Source organism: Homo sapiens, chromosome 20 (assembly GCF_000001405.40).
Source record: "Homo sapiens chromosome 20, GRCh38.p14 Primary Assembly".
NCBI classification, from domain to species: Eukaryota; Metazoa; Chordata; class Mammalia; order Primates; family Hominidae; genus Homo; species Homo sapiens.
The window spans coordinates 64,040,065-64,054,969 of NC_000020.11; the positions used below are offsets into that span (position 1 = coordinate 64,040,065).

Here is a 14,905-nt window from a genome sequence, read left to right on the forward strand (position 1 = left end):
GGGGGCCAGTGGGGGCAAGTGTGGGAGGGATGAGGGGGAGATGCAGGGTGCAGGAGCCCCAGCTGGAGCCAAAGCACTTGAGGGGGGTGCTTGGACTTATCCCGAGGCAGCGGAAGGTCTTTGGTGAAAGAGGGATGTTAGAGTTGGAATCTAGAAAGGTTCCCGTGACTTGTGTGGAGGGTTGGTGAGGACAAAGGGGTGGAGAGAGGTCCAGGCTGCCCAGGGTCCTGGCTGGAGTACCTGGGTGGGTCTGTGGGGAGCCTGAACATGGGAAGCACTAAAGGGGGAGTGGGTCGGTTTGAGGGCCCTGAGGGAGCTGGGGAACTGTGGACGTGGCTGGGCTCAGCTGGGCGTGCTGGTGTATGGAGCATAAGGTATGGACAGCCGAGCATGGCTGGGAGGCAGCTGAGTTGGGGCCTGGAGAGAGTCCAGGGTTCTGGGCTGGGCTCAGGGACAGGATGGGGACAGGCCCTCCATGAAGGCTCCCACTGTCACATTGCCCCAGGGGCAGCTGACTTTTGCACTTGGACCTGCCCCAACCCCTGGGCCATGGGGAGGGCACTCCTCTCCTGTCCATGCATGACCTCCTGGGCGGCCCCTTGGCTCCTGCCCACCCGCAATGCTCCCGTTCTGCTGTTGAGAGCAGTCAGAGGCTGGGGATGTGGGTGGGCAACAGAAACAGCTCCCTCTACCCTGACTGAGAAAGGTTCAAACAAACCACAGCCTCTTGGGGGCAGGAGGAGGAACAGAGGCCTCAGGATTTTGGGGACACATGTCGGTGCCTAGTCCTGGACCACGACCACGTGGGTGGGTGAGAAGTCCTGCATCCTGGCCCATGGCTCCTCTCCCTCATGCAGAATGGGAGCAAGGTGGGCTTTGGGCTTCTGGGACAAAGTTCACTTGTCCAGGGTGGGGACAGCCCAACCAGACTAGGTCTAGGGGCATGTGTGGAGCTACACGAAGCGGCCCAGAGCTACCGAGAGCCACAGAGACTAGGAGAGAAGCCGCAGGTGCCTGCTCAGACCTGAGAGGCTCAGGTCCTCTTTGGGCTCAGCACTGGGACCGTAGCTCTTCTGTAGCTCCATGAGGATAGAGGCATGTCTCCCTCAGCATGATACACCAGCACCTGGCCCAGGCCAGCACACGAGCTGCTCAACAAATGTTTGTTAGCTGGAACTGACCAGAACCAACCCAGAGATGGAAAGAGACTCACTGGGCCCACGGCTGATAGGGACAGAGCCATTGGCCACGGAACCACTGAGGGCAGATCCCATGGACTGGCCCTGTATGTCTCTAGACCGACTGGTGGTGCCTTCCCTGCAGAGGCCCAGGGCAGGTGGCCTGAGCCTGGTTCTTCGTAAAATACTGTTTCTGGGTTGGGGCTGCACACAGTACTGTCCCGTCCCACCCTCATGCCTTTTCAGGGCTTGGCTGCTCCAGGGAGGTGGGGGCTGTGCCAGGGTAACAGATGGAGCCTGCAGGGCGCTGGCTGGGGTTGTGCAACTTCCCACAGCCCAGGAGCCAGGCCCCTCCATGTGCCGCACTGGGAGGAGGGGGCCGGGCAGGCTTTGAAGGGGACCTGGGTCCCGAGGCCTCCCCAGACTGGGAGTCTTTGAAAGAACATCTGGAACTCGGGCAACTGGCTGACTAGTGTCTGGATTTGCAAAACCAAAAGTTAATCCCGACTTTGCCTCCTGTGTGTTCCCCACCCCTGCCCCCAAGCTCCTCTCTCTCCCCAGCCCACCTCCACCCCTTCAGCGGTGGGGCGCGCAGCCTCTCAGGGTCTCCCAAAGCACCTTCCCCCACCACCGCCACCGGCCCCCACCCCAGCCTGGGAGTTTTGCCGAAGCTGACCAGAGGGAGGTGGTGGGGAAGATGGATGTTTTCTGAGTGCCTGCCATACCCAGGCCCTGTGAGCGGACGGGACAGACCGTCACACCGCGGCTGGAGATGGCTGGGGGGCAGTGTGAGTGGTCCTCAGAGGAAACAGCTGCGCCCAGACCTGGGAGGTGCCCGGCCTTGCGTGGGCTCTGAGCCCTGCAGGTGTGCAGGGAGGCCCCCCTGCTCCAGCTGTGGCTGACTCGGAACCAAGTCCCCCCAACTCCAGGAAACACATACTCACTGGTGGGGGGATGTCAGGTGCTGGGGCCCATTGTCTCTGCCAGTGCCTTCAGGACCCTAGGGGGGGCCCAGCGACAGCCCCCATCCTGCCCCCTCCCCAGGAAAAGACGCAGCTCCGTAAACACAGAAACAACCATCGCTCCCTCCCCGCTCTTCCCCTCCCCATTAAAATCCGGAAGAGCCAGCGGGAGGTCGCACCTGCTGGGGGAAGTGAGTCCTTGTTTTGGGGGAAATGAGGAGGTCAGGCCTCTGGGCGCAGGGCAGAGCCGCGTGCGCTGGGGAGGTGGGCAGCCCTGGGGCTGGACGCGGGTTCCCGGGTCGCCTTCCGGCCTCGCTCCCGTCGGGAGGTCCCGACACGGGCTTCCTCGCAGCCTCCCCGCCTGGCCCGGCCCGATTTTGGCCGCTGCGGTCAGGGGAAGAGGCGGCCGGGGCTCCCCACCAGGTGAGCAGGTCCTGCCCGGCTTGAGGCCAGGGGTCCGGGCTGCGGCCCGAGATAAGCGTCGCGCCCGCCGCCGCTTCCTGCGCTTCCAGCGCCGCCACTTCCTGTTTTCTCGCGCTGGCGGGCGGGGTCGTGGGAGACGGGACGGGGGTCGTGGGGGACGGGGCGGGGTCGTGGGGGACGGGACGGGGGTCGTGGGGGACGGGGCGGGGGTCGTGGGGGACGGGACGGGGGTCGTGGGGGACGGGGCGGGGGTCGTGGGGGACGGGGCGGGGGTCGTGGGGGACGGGACGGGGGTCGTGGGGGACGGGGCGGGGTCGTGGGGGACGGGACGGGGGTCGTGGGAGACGGGACGGGGGTCGTGGGGGACGGGGCGGGGTCGTGGGGGACGGGACGGGGGTTGTGGGAGAGGGAGCAGGGTCGGGGAGGATGGGGTGGGGTCCCGGGGAACAGGAGTTGCGGGGAGCGGGAGCGGGCCAGAGCAGTCTCAGCAAGAATGAACCTGGCCGGGCGCGGTGGCTCACGCCTGTGATCCCAGCACTTTGGGAGGCCGAGGCTGGTGGATCACTTGAGATCAGGAGTTCGAGACCAGCCTGGCCAACATGGTGAAACCCCGTCTCTACTTAATACAAAAATTAGCTAGACGTGGTAGCGGGCGCCTGTAGTCCTAGCTCCTCGGGAGGCTGAGGCAGGAGAATCGCTTGAACCCGGGAGGCGGAGGTTGCAGTGAGCCGGGATTGCACCACTGCACTCCAGCTTGGGCGACAGAGCGAGACTCTGTCTCAAAAAAAAAAAAAAAAAAAAAAAAAAGAACGTAGGTGAGACCCTGCGCCTTCTGCACGCCTGGAGCTGGCTCCTGGGGCTCCCCACCTGGCCTGGGACAGAAGTGGTGGGTGGGCTGGATGGAGGGTTGAGCCAGTCCCTGTAGGGCCTTAGTTTTGAGGGGGCCTGTTTGGGATTGGAGGTTTGCAGCTCTGGACCCCCCTTTCCAGGGCAGCTGTTCTAGCATGGGTTCCAGGTACTTAACATATTGTTCAGACTTTGTTATTAGAGATACGCATTTTTGTAATTTTAATAAAAACACATCTACACAAAACATTGTACACAAATGTTCATAGCAACATTATTCATTATTCATTATCATTATCAATAACACTATCATTATTCATGATAGCCGAAAAGTAAAAACCATCAGTGTCCATCAGTCGCTGAATAAATAAAATGTGATATATTCATACAAGGAGGGGATGTTACTCAGCCACAAAAGGAATGGAACGCTGACAGGCCACCGCATGGGCGAACCTTGAAAGTGTGCAGGGTGAACCAAGCCAGACACGAAAGGCCACATATAGTATATTATCCCACTTACAAGAAATATCCAGGCCAGACACTGCAAATCCACAGAGACCAAAAGCAGTTTAGTGTTTATCAGGGGCAGGGGGCAGGAAAGAATAGGGAGTAATGGGTTTCTCTTGAGGGTAATGAAAAGCTCTAAAATTAAAGATGGGTGTGGGGGCGCACGCCTGCAGTTCCAGCGAGACAGGGAGGGTCACTTTTCGAGGCTGCAGGCGCTGAGATCGTTTCTGTGAATAGCCCCTGCACTCCGGCAGCCTAGGCAACATAGCAAGACCCCTCTCTAAATAAATAAATAAATAAATAAATAAAGGCCAGGTGTGGTAGCTCATGTCTATAACTCCAGCACTTTGGGAGGCCAGGTGTTCAAGACCAGCCTGAGAATCATAGGAGTCTCTACAGCAAACCAACAAGGAGCATAGCTCCGAGGTAGAGCATTTGACTGCAACAGACAGAATGCTCTAAAATAAGACAGTGGAGATGGTTTCCAGCCTTGTGACTACAACAAAACCACTCCATTGTATCCTTAAATTTTATGTAGGTTTTGTAGAACGTAAGTGGAGCGGTTGGGTTTTCTGGGGTGCTTTTCCTGCTGAGAGGTGGGGGCGGAGTGGTGGGGGGCTAAGGTCTTCACATGTGCCCTCCTTGCCTGCCCCAGCAGGACCTTGCTGGGGTGAAATGTGCTCTTCGTCTGGTGTGTGGCTGGGTGTGTATGTGTGTCTGTGCTGGTGCTGGGAGAGGGGTGCACCATAGCCGCTCTCAGCCCCCATTTTCTCTGACTCTGCCCCTGGGCTGCCTGCTGGGGAGAGTTCAACACCTCGCTCAGTTCACTCTAGGGACAAGCTGGGTCCTGGGCATGGGGGACGGGAGGGGAGCTGTGGCCAGTGCCAGGCAGGGCTGCTAGAACTTCTCACCAGGATCTAAGGCCTGACTCAGCAGGAGGAGGGTGGAGACTTCCCTTGGAGCCTCAGGGAAGAAGGCAGACAGGGCCAGGAGCGGGAGGGGTGTGCAGCTGGTGCCAGGGATGGAGCACCCAGGCCCTGGGGCTGTTCAGCCTTTGGCGGGTAGAGGGGAGATAGATCCCTGGGCTGGGCCCTGGGAGAGGCCCTGTAAGGAGACCCCACCCACCGCTGCCGAGGAGCCGCTATTGGAACCCGGTGCCCTCAGTGGAAGCCTCTTTCATGTCCCCTTCTGATCCTTCTCCTGGGCATTTCCAGCCTCTGGGCTGGGACTTGCTTCAGCTCGGGCCCCTCACTAGCCCCCCACCCTGGCACTTGGGGGAGGGACTTCTCACAGGTACCCACTCTGTCCCCTCCTCACACAGACCATGAGGCTGTGTTGCCACCCAAGGTATCTTCCAAGCTCTCCACCCCATTGGCCTAGAGGGGGTTGCAGTGGGGGTGAGGAGTCCAGAATAGGGGATGTGTGCTGGCCATGGGACTGCCACTGTGGCCTCCCCAGGCTGTCTGTGTCTGTGGGAGTTGCCGGGGAAGGCGTGGCTGGGGAGATGCCCAGCCCAAACAGGGAGGCACTGGAGGCCGGGGGCAGGGGCTGTCCACATGAATTTAGGCAGCAGGACAGGCTGGGTCTGTTGTCTCTCCTGCCTTGGTTGGGGGTTGGGGGAGGGGCAGGTGGTCTCATGCCTGGGCCAGCCACTTGCGGATTCTGGCTGCTGGGTCGCCCTCTGGCTGAGGTCCCCATGGAAGGGGGTGCATCTTGGGCTTGCTGACCCCAGGGCTCCAGGGGGTGGGCCAGAGCAGGAGTTGGTGGGCACGAGAGCTGGGTGTGGCTTGCATTCTCACAGGTGTGAGCATTTATCTCATGGTATGATCCCAGGAAGAGTCCATGTTGGTGCCTCAGAGACCCCCCTCCCCCCGCCTCCACCGAAAGACAGATGTGGCTTGTGTCCCTTTGGGTCTCACCGTCTCTGCCTCCCTGCTGTGTGCTGGCAGACTGCTTGGAAGACATGGGCGATGACCTCGGTGTCCTGTGGGCTGTGTCTGCCTGCCTGGTGCATCTCTGTCTACCTCTGAGCCTGTCTCCTGCCCTCTTCAGCGTGTCTGTGTCTGTCCCCTCTGCGTGTCTCTGTTCCTTTGTCTTTGAGTTCTGTGTGCTCTGCTGCCAATGGGGTGGGGAAGGGGCCCCAGGTGCAGCCCCTACTGGGGGCCCATCTGAGGGGTGGCACTCATGCTGATTAACACAGAGGTGACATGCCCTGCTTGAGGGGAGGGTACCTGTAAAATAGCCCCATCCCACCCCCTCCACACACACACTCAGGTAGCAGGCACATGTCCATCCCGCCCCAGGCTTGCTGCACATCCATATGCCACACACACACTGTCACCTGCATGAAGGGCCACACTGGGAGTCTCATTCACACGCATGCAGAACCACAGACACACTCTCAGAGGCGTGTGCTCCCCCGTACCTGGGAGGCTGAGCCGCGAGTGAGTTTCCACACCAGGGCAGTAAAGGTTCAGCTCTCCCCACCGACTCCCCACCTATGCAGAGGGGGTGCTGGGGCAGGATATGCCCTTCCCCCAGGAGGGAGGTGCATGCCCCTCCTCTTGGCTTATACCTGCCAGGCCCTAGGGAGTGTGTCTGTGTCTGGGTGTTCACTTTTGGGGGTGATTACTCCAAACTTCCCTGAACACGTGGGTTTGAGGTCGAGAGGACCAAGAGGTCAGCATGGAAAGACGGTGTCCAGGCCGGGCGCTGGGCTCACACCTGTAATCCCAGCACTTTGGGAGGCCGAGGCGGGCGGATCACGAGGTCAGGAGATCGAGACCATCCTGGCTAACACGGTGAAACCCCGTCTCTACTAAAAATACAAATTAGCCACGTGTGGTGGTGGGCGCCTGTAGTCCTAGCTACTCAGGAGGCTGAGCAGAATGGTGTGAACCCAGCAGGTGGAGCTTGCTGTGAACCGAGATTGCTCCACTGCACTCCAGCCTGGGTGACACAGCGAGACTCCGTCTCAAAAAAAAAAAAGAGAGAGAAAGAAAAAGAAAGAGGGTGTCCAGTCCTCCTGGGGGCTAGTGAGATACGACTCCAGAGTTGGGGGGTCTTGGGATGTGAAGCCTGTGCTCTCCTGCCTTGGCCATCGGACCTGTCTCTGGGCAGAGCTGGACAGGTCACCCGGGTGGGGGGAGCGCTGTGGGTGTAGCATGGTGCTGTCCTCCCTGGGGTGAGTTAGAACAGCTGACGGAGACCCTGGAGTCTGTGTCTGCATGTGGGCTGCCAACCTGCCAGCCTCCCTCAGGAAAGGGGGCCGTACTGGGCAGTCCTTGGGCATGGAAGTTTTAAGGTGGAGGCAAGGGCGATGAAACCCTAGCGGGGGTGTGACAGGATTGCTGGTATAGTCTGACCTCCGATAGGCTTGAGTTAACCTGGGGGTGGGACAGGAGGGGAGTGGAGGGCTGGGGGGGAGTGTGGACCCATGCCTGCTACCCACGCTCTCTGGGATGTGTCACGGAAGGATGAAGGAGTGCTATGAGGTTCAAGCTAGGAGTCAGGCTCCCTGGGGGCGATTCGGAGGGAAGGGGCGTCCAGGGCTATTTGGGGAACTGCTTTTCCCTCCCTGCAAACACCACAGATGTCAGTGTGCAGAGGAAAGGCCCGAGGATTTATTGTGGCCTCTCCGTCCGGGGACCCAGCTCCAGGCTCCTCCTTTATAGAAAGCAAACATCTGTATTCCTCACATTGCAAAAGTCTTTGCCACAGTGACGCTTCTGATCACTGAAACTTCTTGGAAGAAAAGTTTAAGAGTTTAATTAAAAATTAAATATATTGTATTAGGTATATTTTTTAAAAGGGCAAAGTAAAAAATATTAATACAATCTGGTTGTAGAAAATACACTGCAAGAAAAGGAGCAGGTGCTTCAAAAATGTAACCCTGGCAACTCTGCCAACAGGTCCTGGGCTCGGGCTTCCTGGAAAAGCCCCGGGACACGTGGGAACTCCAGGCACCCTCGCAGGGGCCCCCCGAGGGCAGGTGGCCCAGAAGCCCAGGAAGGGTGGCCTGGGAGGTGGAACGGGCGCAAGGCCGAGCATCACTGGCTCCTAGGGGGCTGTGACATGGAACCAAACATACACGCGTATGAGAGAGCAGAGCGGCAGCGACGCGGTCGGATCGGTCGCGGGGGCTGCGGGAGGAAGCGCTGCAGGGACCCGGGCGGCGCCGGCGGCCTAGCCGGAGATGCACGCGCTGTAATAGACCGCGCTGCTGGCGTCCGACAGCGCGGAGATCAGGCTGCTCTCCTCTGGGCAGGACATGGCGCGCGGGCCCAGTTTGGCCAGTGCCACGTGGTACGGGAGCCCGGGGGCGTCGGGCCGAGTCCGGCTGCAGTTGAGGTACTGGTCGAACTCGGTGAGGTCCACGTCGGCCCACAGATCGGCGGCGGGCCCCAGCGGCTCGGCGCTCTCCAGCGGCGGGGCCTCGGGCGGCGGCGACAGCGGGCCGGGGTACGGGCCGGGCGTGCCCAGGGTGCCGTAGTACAGGCCAGCGAGCGGCGCCGCGGGGGGCGCGGTCCTGAGCGCCTCCGCCAGGGGAGCCCCGTAGCAACCGCCGGGGTCCCGCGACAACTCGGTGGGCGCGTAGGGCGCGCGGAAGGGCCGCAGCGCGCAGTCCTCGGGCGCCGCGGGCGGTGGGAAGAAGGCAGCCTCGCCGGGCTCCAGGCCGTCCAGAGGCGAGCGCTCGGGCGTGGGCAGCCCCAGGCCGTCGAACTCGGCGCCCAGCGGGGGCAGCTCGCGGAAGGCGCGAGCCGAGCCAGACGCCGCGGGGAAAGGCTCGGGCGGTGGCTGCGGGGGCGCTAATCCCGGGAGCAGGAGGCCGGGCTCCAGCCGCCGGGCCTTGCGCGCCTGCTTCTTGCGGCGCGGCCGGTACTTGTAGTTGGGGTGGTCGCGCAAGTGCTGCACGCGCAGCCGTTCGGCTTCCTCCACGAAGGGCCGCTTCTCCGCCGCGTTCAGCTCCTTCCACGCTTTGCCTGCGGGCCGTGGGCGCCAGTGAGTGGAACGCCGTCGGGCGGGTGGGCGCCGAGCCCTCCGTGCGCCCGGGACGCCCCGCGAGGGTTTGGCGCAGCCCCCGCACCCCGCGGCCCGGGACCCCTGCCCCCCCCGCCCCACCCCGGCCCGAGCCCCCCCCGCCCTCTCCCCCTTCTCTGCCGCCCTCCCGCCGCTCACCCAGCATCTTGCTGAGCACCGCGTTGTGCAGGTCCGGGTTCTGCTGAGCCAGCCGCTTGCGCTCGTCCTTTGCCCACACCATGAAGGCGTTCATGGGCCGCCGGATGCGCGACTCGTCTGCCGCCTGGCGTTCCCCGCGGCCGGCCGGGCTGAGGCCATAGCGCCCCGGCTCGGGGCTGCGCGGGGGACTGCGCTGCGGGCTGGGCGGCGAGGCGGGCGCGGCGGGCGCGGCGAGGGCGGCGGGGCCGGCGGCGAGGCCGCGCGTGTCAGCGGCGGCCCCGTGTCCCGGGGCCCATGCACAGTCGCGGCGGGCGGGCGGGTCGTCCTGTGCGCCGTAGCCGGGCGGCGATCTCTGCATTCCAGCTGGGCGCGGCCTGGGCGGAACGGAGCGCGGGAGCGCGGCGGGCGGGCGGCGGGCACTGGGGAGCCGGGCGCAAGGGCAGGCCAGGCCGGGAGGGCGGATGGCGGTGGGGACGGCGGTGGCCTCGGGCCGGGCGGGCGCCCAGATATAGCGGCTCAGGGCCAATCGGCGGCGGGGCGGGCGGGCGGGGGCGGGTCGGGGCCGCCTCCTCCCCGGGGGCTCCCTTTCTTCTCAGGCCGGGCGGGATTCCGCTGAGGCCTCCCCCGCGCACAGCCCCCCCACCTCCCCCGCGACCTCTCAGAAGGAGAGACCCCCCGGGTGGGAAAGAAAGGGCTGCTGATGAGGGCCGGTGCTGCCAGACTTTCGGAGGCGAGCTGCCACCCACCCACGGAGTCGGACCCCCGGGCAGTAACTGGGGGAGGGCGGCAGTGTCCCGCTGGTTGCCGTTCCCCGCCCCCCGCTGGGAGGCTCCATGGGGAGGAGAGGGCCCTTTTTCACACCAAGTTCTGGGGAGGCTGCCTTCCCAACAGCCGGTAAGTCCTTCCTGGAGTGCAGCGCCTTCAGAAAAGGCCCCGTCTTTGGGGAGGCGCTCTGAGTCCCCAGGGGCGCCCATGCTGGAAACTCTACACCCATGTGTAACCGTCAGCACCAGGGACTTTGAGTGCCTTTATGGGACAAGATGGTCTTCTGTCCTCACTCCCAAACCAACTCTGGCACAAGGCAAAGCTGACACAGGGAGGGAGAGAGCAGAGGCCCTGGACGGAGCCCACAAAGAGAAGGGGGAGCAGGGACGCAGAGGCTGTGGCGTCCTCCCTGCCCCCCAAGGGCCCTTGGGGAAGGGGCTGGGACCCTCAGTGGCTTGCTGGCTCCCCTGCCCAGCCCAGGCCACCGCTGCAGCAAGAGGCAGGGCCTACCTGGGTCCTTCCCACTGGCCCCTCCCTGGACCCTCTGACCTGGGCGGGGGCGGGTTCCGGAGGAGCGTCCAGCTTCCTGAATTTTCACTGTCCCCTTCCTACTCCATCAGGAGGGGATCTGGGCTCCAGAGCTGAGGGTCTCCCTCTGGAGGTCCTCCCCTCCCACTGCCACGCATGGTTCTACTGGAGAAGGGTTGGGTGTCCCCAGCAGCCCTCCAGGCAGGGTCAGAATCTCGCCACCTCGCGGCACATCTCCTCATAGCCTGGAGGCTCCCCAGCTCCCCCCGCCACACTATGCCGGGAGCCCCATGGGTAGAGGCCACAGGTCTTGTGACCCTGAGCCTGTGTGGCCAGAAGCTCTTGGTTCTCTGTCCCTGCCAGCCTCGCTAGGCCACATCCAGCCTGTGTTATGAATGGGGTGGGCCCCACGTGGGCCTTGCAGTGCCCCTTAGAGGCTGTTCCTGAACTGTCCCCAGGGGCACTCCTGCCCTGAGGCCAGCACCCCCACAGGGGCACTCCCACCGAGGGCTGTCGCGGTCGGTGTCCAGCCCTCCCCAAAGCCCCACATCACAGTCTGTCTCGACGCCCATCGTCCCAGCATACGGGGCTGGGTCTCCCAGTCTGGTCTCCAGATCTCCCGTCCCTCCAGTTTGCCCCACGGGCCTAGCACCTCGTTCACAGACACTGAGCCAGTGCTGGCTAATGGGGGGCCCGTGGGGCACCAGGAGGTGCGGCCCCTGGCTTTTCTGGGGAGGCAGGCAGGGTTGTGGCCACAGGGATGGAGGGGCTCACAGGCCTCTGCCGGATGCTGCTAGTCCTCCTTTAATCTCAGTATGGGTGGCTGGACCCTTGGCCGAGTCTCAGTGTGGGTGGGCCTCCTGGGCAGCTGGCAGGAGGGTGCAGGGGGGGTGGGGAGCCGTGCGAAGACCCCAAAGGGCTACCACTTGGCGGAAGCTCTCTCTACTCACAACCTTAGGGTTGCAGTCAGGGGTCACCAGGGCCTGGCTCAGCCTGGGCAGTGGCTGGTCACTGCGGCCTGGGAAAGAGGTCCTCGGGGTCCTCTGCAGTAGCCCTCACACGTGGGGAAGGATTTGCAGTTCCCTGGGGGCCCTGCTTGGTCCTCTGCCACCCCCGAGAGCCCAGAGTCACTGGAGCTGCTCTAAACATAGTGGCAGGCAGTGTCCGGCATGACCTCATCGCCTCCACGTCCCCCACAACACCCACCAGCAGCCGCCTTGCCTGGCGCCAGCCAGTGACCCACCCTCTTGGCTGGGCTGTGGACTCAGGTGTCCGGCTGTCATGTCCTGTGAGTCGGGGCTGGGCGGGGAGCCTCCTGAGGTGCTCCTCTCCCTCTGCGTGGCAGGGAGGAGGCTGGCAGCCCTGGCCCAGTGTCCAGATGGGACAAAGTGGGGGTAGGGACCACAGCCAGGGTGGCGTGATCTGGAGCCGCAGGGCTGGGGGGACTTGCCAGGGCTGTAGAGGGGATGGTGTGGGTGTGGCCAGCTGTGCTGAGGGAGGGGCATCCGATGTGTGTCTGTGCATCTGTGTGTGGCCTGTGTCTGTCTGTCTGCCTGGGTGTGGGGTGAGGGGGACTCTAGTGCTGGAGGCTGCCCAGGGCCTTGAGAGCCAGGCAAGCTGGACGTTCCCAGGAAGAGATGAGGACCCATAATAGGTCCAGGACCAGGGGTCCTGCTCCGTGAAGTTTGGAGGGTCCCCAAGGCTTCTCTGGCCACTGAGCTTGGGCCCCAGCATTCTCCAAAAGAGGGCAGGCAGTTCATGAGTCTAGGGGCATTCCTCTGCCTCTGGAACCCCACCTCAGTCTGTCCTGGACTAGGTGGGCTATGGCCCACCCTTGGGAAGGAGCCTATCTGTAGCCCCCAAGCCCCAGTCAGAAAGGCAGAGTTTGGGGGCAAGCTTTCTCTACAAGGGTGGGGCTGGCCTGGGCACTGAGTGGACACTGTCCTCCTGCCTGCCACCTGCCCCTCTCCCTCAGCTTGGACAGGAACCCCGGCCTCTGAGTGAGGTCCGCAAAGGATGCTGGGTAGTCCCCCTCCGTGGCTCTGGGTGGGAGCTTGGCTTGGCGCGGCTCTGGGCCGGGATGGCAGGACCTCCCAGCCACTGCCTGGGCACAGACCTCCCAGGATCCCACCAGCCCAGCCCCTGCGGCTGCAAGAGCAGCGAGGCTGGGACCAATTACCGAGTCCCGCAGGGCCTGGACCCTCCTGCTCCTCAAGGGTGAAGGTGGGGGTTCCTGTTGGATGCAGTTTCAGGTGGAGGGGGCTCTCTGGCCTCCCGAACCTCGGCTCTCTCCAGTTCAGATCCTACCTTCTGCCCACAGCTGAACACCTCTTCCTACAGGGAGCCCCCGACCTCCCAGCCACTGTCCTCCAGAGGCCATAGCATCTTGGTCTCCTTCTGTCTGCTGCCTCGGTAGGCTTCCTTTGGGACCCGTGGAGGCATGTCTGACTCCTCAGGAGCTCTGTATTTAGTGGGCCTTGTCCTGGGGTGGCGGCTCCAGGCCTAGTGAGACATGGCAGAGGCCAGGGCAGGGAGAATGTGAAGCTGGGGCGAGGGTCTGTGACGAGGCCGCCTGACGCCTCAGCACCAGGTGGACACAGTTGTGTGCATGTCCCTCTTGGCCAATGACAGGTCCGGTTCAGGTGGCCCTTGCCCAGGGACAGAGGCTTCTCCTGGCTCCGTGCCTTCCAGCTCTCAGTCCTGGTGTGCACAGCGTCACCGGGCTTCCGATAGCTGCCGGCCTCAACTCTGGGAGAGGGCAGGTGGGGCGGCAGGAGGTGCCTGTGCTTTCCTAGGCATGAGCAGGCATGAGAGGTGCACATGCTCCTGCTCACCTGGGCGGCGCCTCTCAACTGTTAGGTGTGGGGTTAGGGTTCACCTGACGATTTGCCGCAGTCCAGCGGACCCGAGAGTTGCATGCAGAGCTGGGGTTGCGGTGCGAGTGGGGAAGGGTCTGAAGGTGTGGGTGCAGGGGGCTGTGCTGGGGCCTGCAGGCTGGGGTGTGCGGTGTGAGTGGGGTGCTTTTGTAGTCTAAGGGGTGATGTGCCAGTCGTCGTGTGGTGTCAGGTGTCAGTCGTCGTGTGGTGTCAGGGTCTCTTCTACTCGGTGCTAAGGGCCAGCAGGACCGAGAGGGGTAGGGGCTTCTCTGGGTCGAGGGCCACAGGGGGCTGGTGGGGGTGGGAGTGCTGAATGCACAGGGTGATGCTGGGCTTCGGGTAGCAGATGTGCTGTGGACAGTCGGGGTCGGGTCATCTGCGGCGAGCGGGGCTTCTGTAGGTGCTCCCAGGGCCCTGGTGATGTGGAAGCTGTTCTCAAATTCTGGGGTGTTGTGCTGTGGTGGGCATGTACCTAGGGTGTTATCAAGGGCTGTGCCCACTTTTAGGGGCACTGGGCAAGAGTCGGGGTGTCAGAGCAGCTGCTTGAGCTCCGTGGGGGCCATTGTGTGGCCCTTGGGGTGTCCTGCCCTGGGGGCGGCTGCAGGGCCGCTTGTGTCCCTGGGTGTTGCTGCCTGCTGTGCGGCCTTCCCAGTGATGTTTGTGTGTGTGTGTGTGTTGGGGGGGTTCCATGGGAAGCAGGCTGGGGGGCTGGGCTGCTCCGGGTTTCTGAGGCAACAGCAGGGAGGGGCCAGGAAACTGCAGCTCAGGAAGGAAGGCCGGCCTTGCAGGAGGGGGCCTGGGGCCAGCTTGGGCTGAGCAGGCGCCAGACATTCTGTGCTGCGGCCCCGGCCCCCACTGGCTGGGAGCTCCTGCCCAAGTTCCGCTGGCCCCACCCTTGTCTCCACCTCCATGCTTGTATGGCTGCCTTTATTCAGACCGTGGTGACTTGGGCTTGGGTCTGTGGGTGACCTGGTCCTGTGCTTATGTGAGCCCCAGTCCATTTGTGGCTCTGTAGAGGCCCAGATGGGGCTCTCAGTGTACCCTGCACCGTGGGGCATGTGTTAGCACACTCCGGTCCCCAGGGTCCCTGGAGGGCAGTGTCCACTCTGACTACCCTGTCCTGGGCTGGCCCAGCCTCCTTCTCCCCTGCCAGGCTGGTAAGTCGGGAGAGGGAGAACATCCTCAGGGGTCATCTGTCTCCCAGCCACGGAGGGGCACTGCAGGGCCGGATGCCTGAAGCTGTGTGTTTCTTTTTGTTGCTTGTCCTGGCATTGGTGACAGCCAGCTGGGGCTGCCACATAGGCTGGAGGGGGCAGGCCTGTGTTCTGGGGGCTCATCCACCCCTTCTTGCTCAGGGACAGGCAACATCTATCCATCCATTTGTTATTGAGCACCTGTTGTGTAGTAGACCCTGTTTTAGGGGTTAGGAATTTGGCAGAGAACAAAACAGACAGGTCCCTGCCTGTGGGAAGCTTCCATTATGGTGAGAAGAGACAGACAATCAACAAATCCACAAACAGGTGTGGTGACTCATGCCTGTAATCCCAGCACTTTGGGAGGCTAAGGTGGGCGGATCACCTGAGGTCAGGAGTTCGAGACCAGCTTGGCCAATATAGTGAAACCCCTGCCTCTACTTAAAAAA

At 62.8% G+C, this 14,905-nt stretch overlaps 1 protein-coding gene across 1 annotated transcript, besides 16 other annotated features; it reads right to left on the reverse strand.

The window, feature by feature from the left end:
• Positions 2,430 to 2,489: a silencer, noted in NCBI's record as "silent region_13202". NCBI's record gives its function as "represses an Ori minimal core promoter by ATAC-STARR-seq in GM12878 lymphoblastoid cells {active_cell/tissue: GM12878}" and the evidence as "EXISTENCE:reporter gene assay evidence [ECO:0000049][PMID:35858748]".
• Positions 2,510 to 2,609: a silencer, noted in NCBI's record as "silent region_13203". NCBI's record gives its function as "represses an Ori minimal core promoter by ATAC-STARR-seq in GM12878 lymphoblastoid cells {active_cell/tissue: GM12878}" and the evidence as "EXISTENCE:reporter gene assay evidence [ECO:0000049][PMID:35858748]".
• Positions 5,454 to 6,374: an enhancer, noted in NCBI's record as "H3K4me1 hESC enhancer chr20:62676871-62677791 (GRCh37/hg19 assembly coordinates)". NCBI's record gives its function as "activates a minimal SCP1, AML or CMV promoter by ChIP-STARR-seq in naive H9 embryonic stem cells {active_cell/tissue: H9 hESC(naive)}" and the evidence as "EXISTENCE:reporter gene assay evidence [ECO:0000049][PMID:30033119]".
• On the reverse strand, positions 7,518 to 9,575 carry SOX18 (SRY-box transcription factor 18). The gene is made up of 2 exons (NM_018419.3): positions 9,095 to 9,575; positions 7,518 to 8,898 (listed from the first exon to the last, which is right to left on the reverse strand). Exons 1-2 carry the CDS (start codon positions 9,450 to 9,452, stop codon positions 8,102 to 8,104), a joined length of 1,155 nt encoding a protein of 384 aa, NP_060889.1. The 5' UTR covers positions 9,453 to 9,575; the 3' UTR covers positions 7,518 to 8,101.
• Positions 9,265 to 9,314: a silencer, noted in NCBI's record as "silent region_13204". NCBI's record gives its function as "represses an Ori minimal core promoter by ATAC-STARR-seq in GM12878 lymphoblastoid cells {active_cell/tissue: GM12878}" and the evidence as "EXISTENCE:reporter gene assay evidence [ECO:0000049][PMID:35858748]".
• Positions 9,446 to 10,127: an enhancer, noted in NCBI's record as "H3K4me1 hESC enhancer chr20:62680863-62681544 (GRCh37/hg19 assembly coordinates)". NCBI's record gives its function as "activates a minimal SCP1, AML or CMV promoter by ChIP-STARR-seq in naive H9 embryonic stem cells {active_cell/tissue: H9 hESC(naive)}" and the evidence as "EXISTENCE:reporter gene assay evidence [ECO:0000049][PMID:30033119]".
• Positions 9,446 to 10,560: a biological region, named in NCBI's record as "SOX18 promoter region". NCBI's record gives its function as "regulatory_interactions: SOX18".
• Positions 9,452 to 10,560: a promoter, noted in NCBI's record as "1.0 kb promoter". NCBI's record gives the evidence for it as "EXISTENCE:reporter gene assay evidence [ECO:0000049][PMID:24269235]".
• Positions 9,455 to 9,715: a promoter, noted in NCBI's record as "255pCAT6; PvuII/StuI fragment for core promoter". NCBI's record gives the evidence for it as "EXISTENCE:reporter gene assay evidence [ECO:0000049][PMID:20054233]".
• Positions 9,455 to 10,352: a promoter, noted in NCBI's record as "892pCAT6; PvuII/PstI fragment for optimal promoter". NCBI's record gives the evidence for it as "EXISTENCE:reporter gene assay evidence [ECO:0000049][PMID:20054233]".
• Positions 9,617 to 9,652: a protein binding site, noted in NCBI's record as "EGR1 IV". NCBI's record gives its function as "positive regulation of transcription" and the evidence as "EXISTENCE:protein binding evidence [ECO:0000024][PMID:20054233]".
• Positions 9,617 to 9,652: a protein binding site, noted in NCBI's record as "SOX18-A1F". NCBI's record gives the evidence for it as "EXISTENCE:protein binding evidence [ECO:0000024][PMID:18496767]".
• Positions 9,617 to 9,652: a protein binding site, noted in NCBI's record as "SOX18-A1F". NCBI's record gives the evidence for it as "EXISTENCE:protein binding evidence [ECO:0000024][PMID:18496767]".
• Positions 9,617 to 9,652: a protein binding site, noted in NCBI's record as "SOX18-A1F". NCBI's record gives the evidence for it as "EXISTENCE:protein binding evidence [ECO:0000024][PMID:18496767]".
• Positions 9,826 to 9,851: a protein binding site, noted in NCBI's record as "SOX18-FG4". NCBI's record gives the evidence for it as "EXISTENCE:protein binding evidence [ECO:0000024][PMID:26588701]".
• Positions 9,896 to 9,926: a protein binding site, noted in NCBI's record as "SOX18-FG2". NCBI's record gives the evidence for it as "EXISTENCE:protein binding evidence [ECO:0000024][PMID:26588701]".
• Positions 12,876 to 13,565: an enhancer, noted in NCBI's record as "H3K27ac-H3K4me1 hESC enhancer chr20:62684293-62684982 (GRCh37/hg19 assembly coordinates)". NCBI's record gives its function as "activates a minimal SCP1, AML or CMV promoter by ChIP-STARR-seq in naive H9 embryonic stem cells {active_cell/tissue: H9 hESC(naive)}" and the evidence as "EXISTENCE:reporter gene assay evidence [ECO:0000049][PMID:30033119]".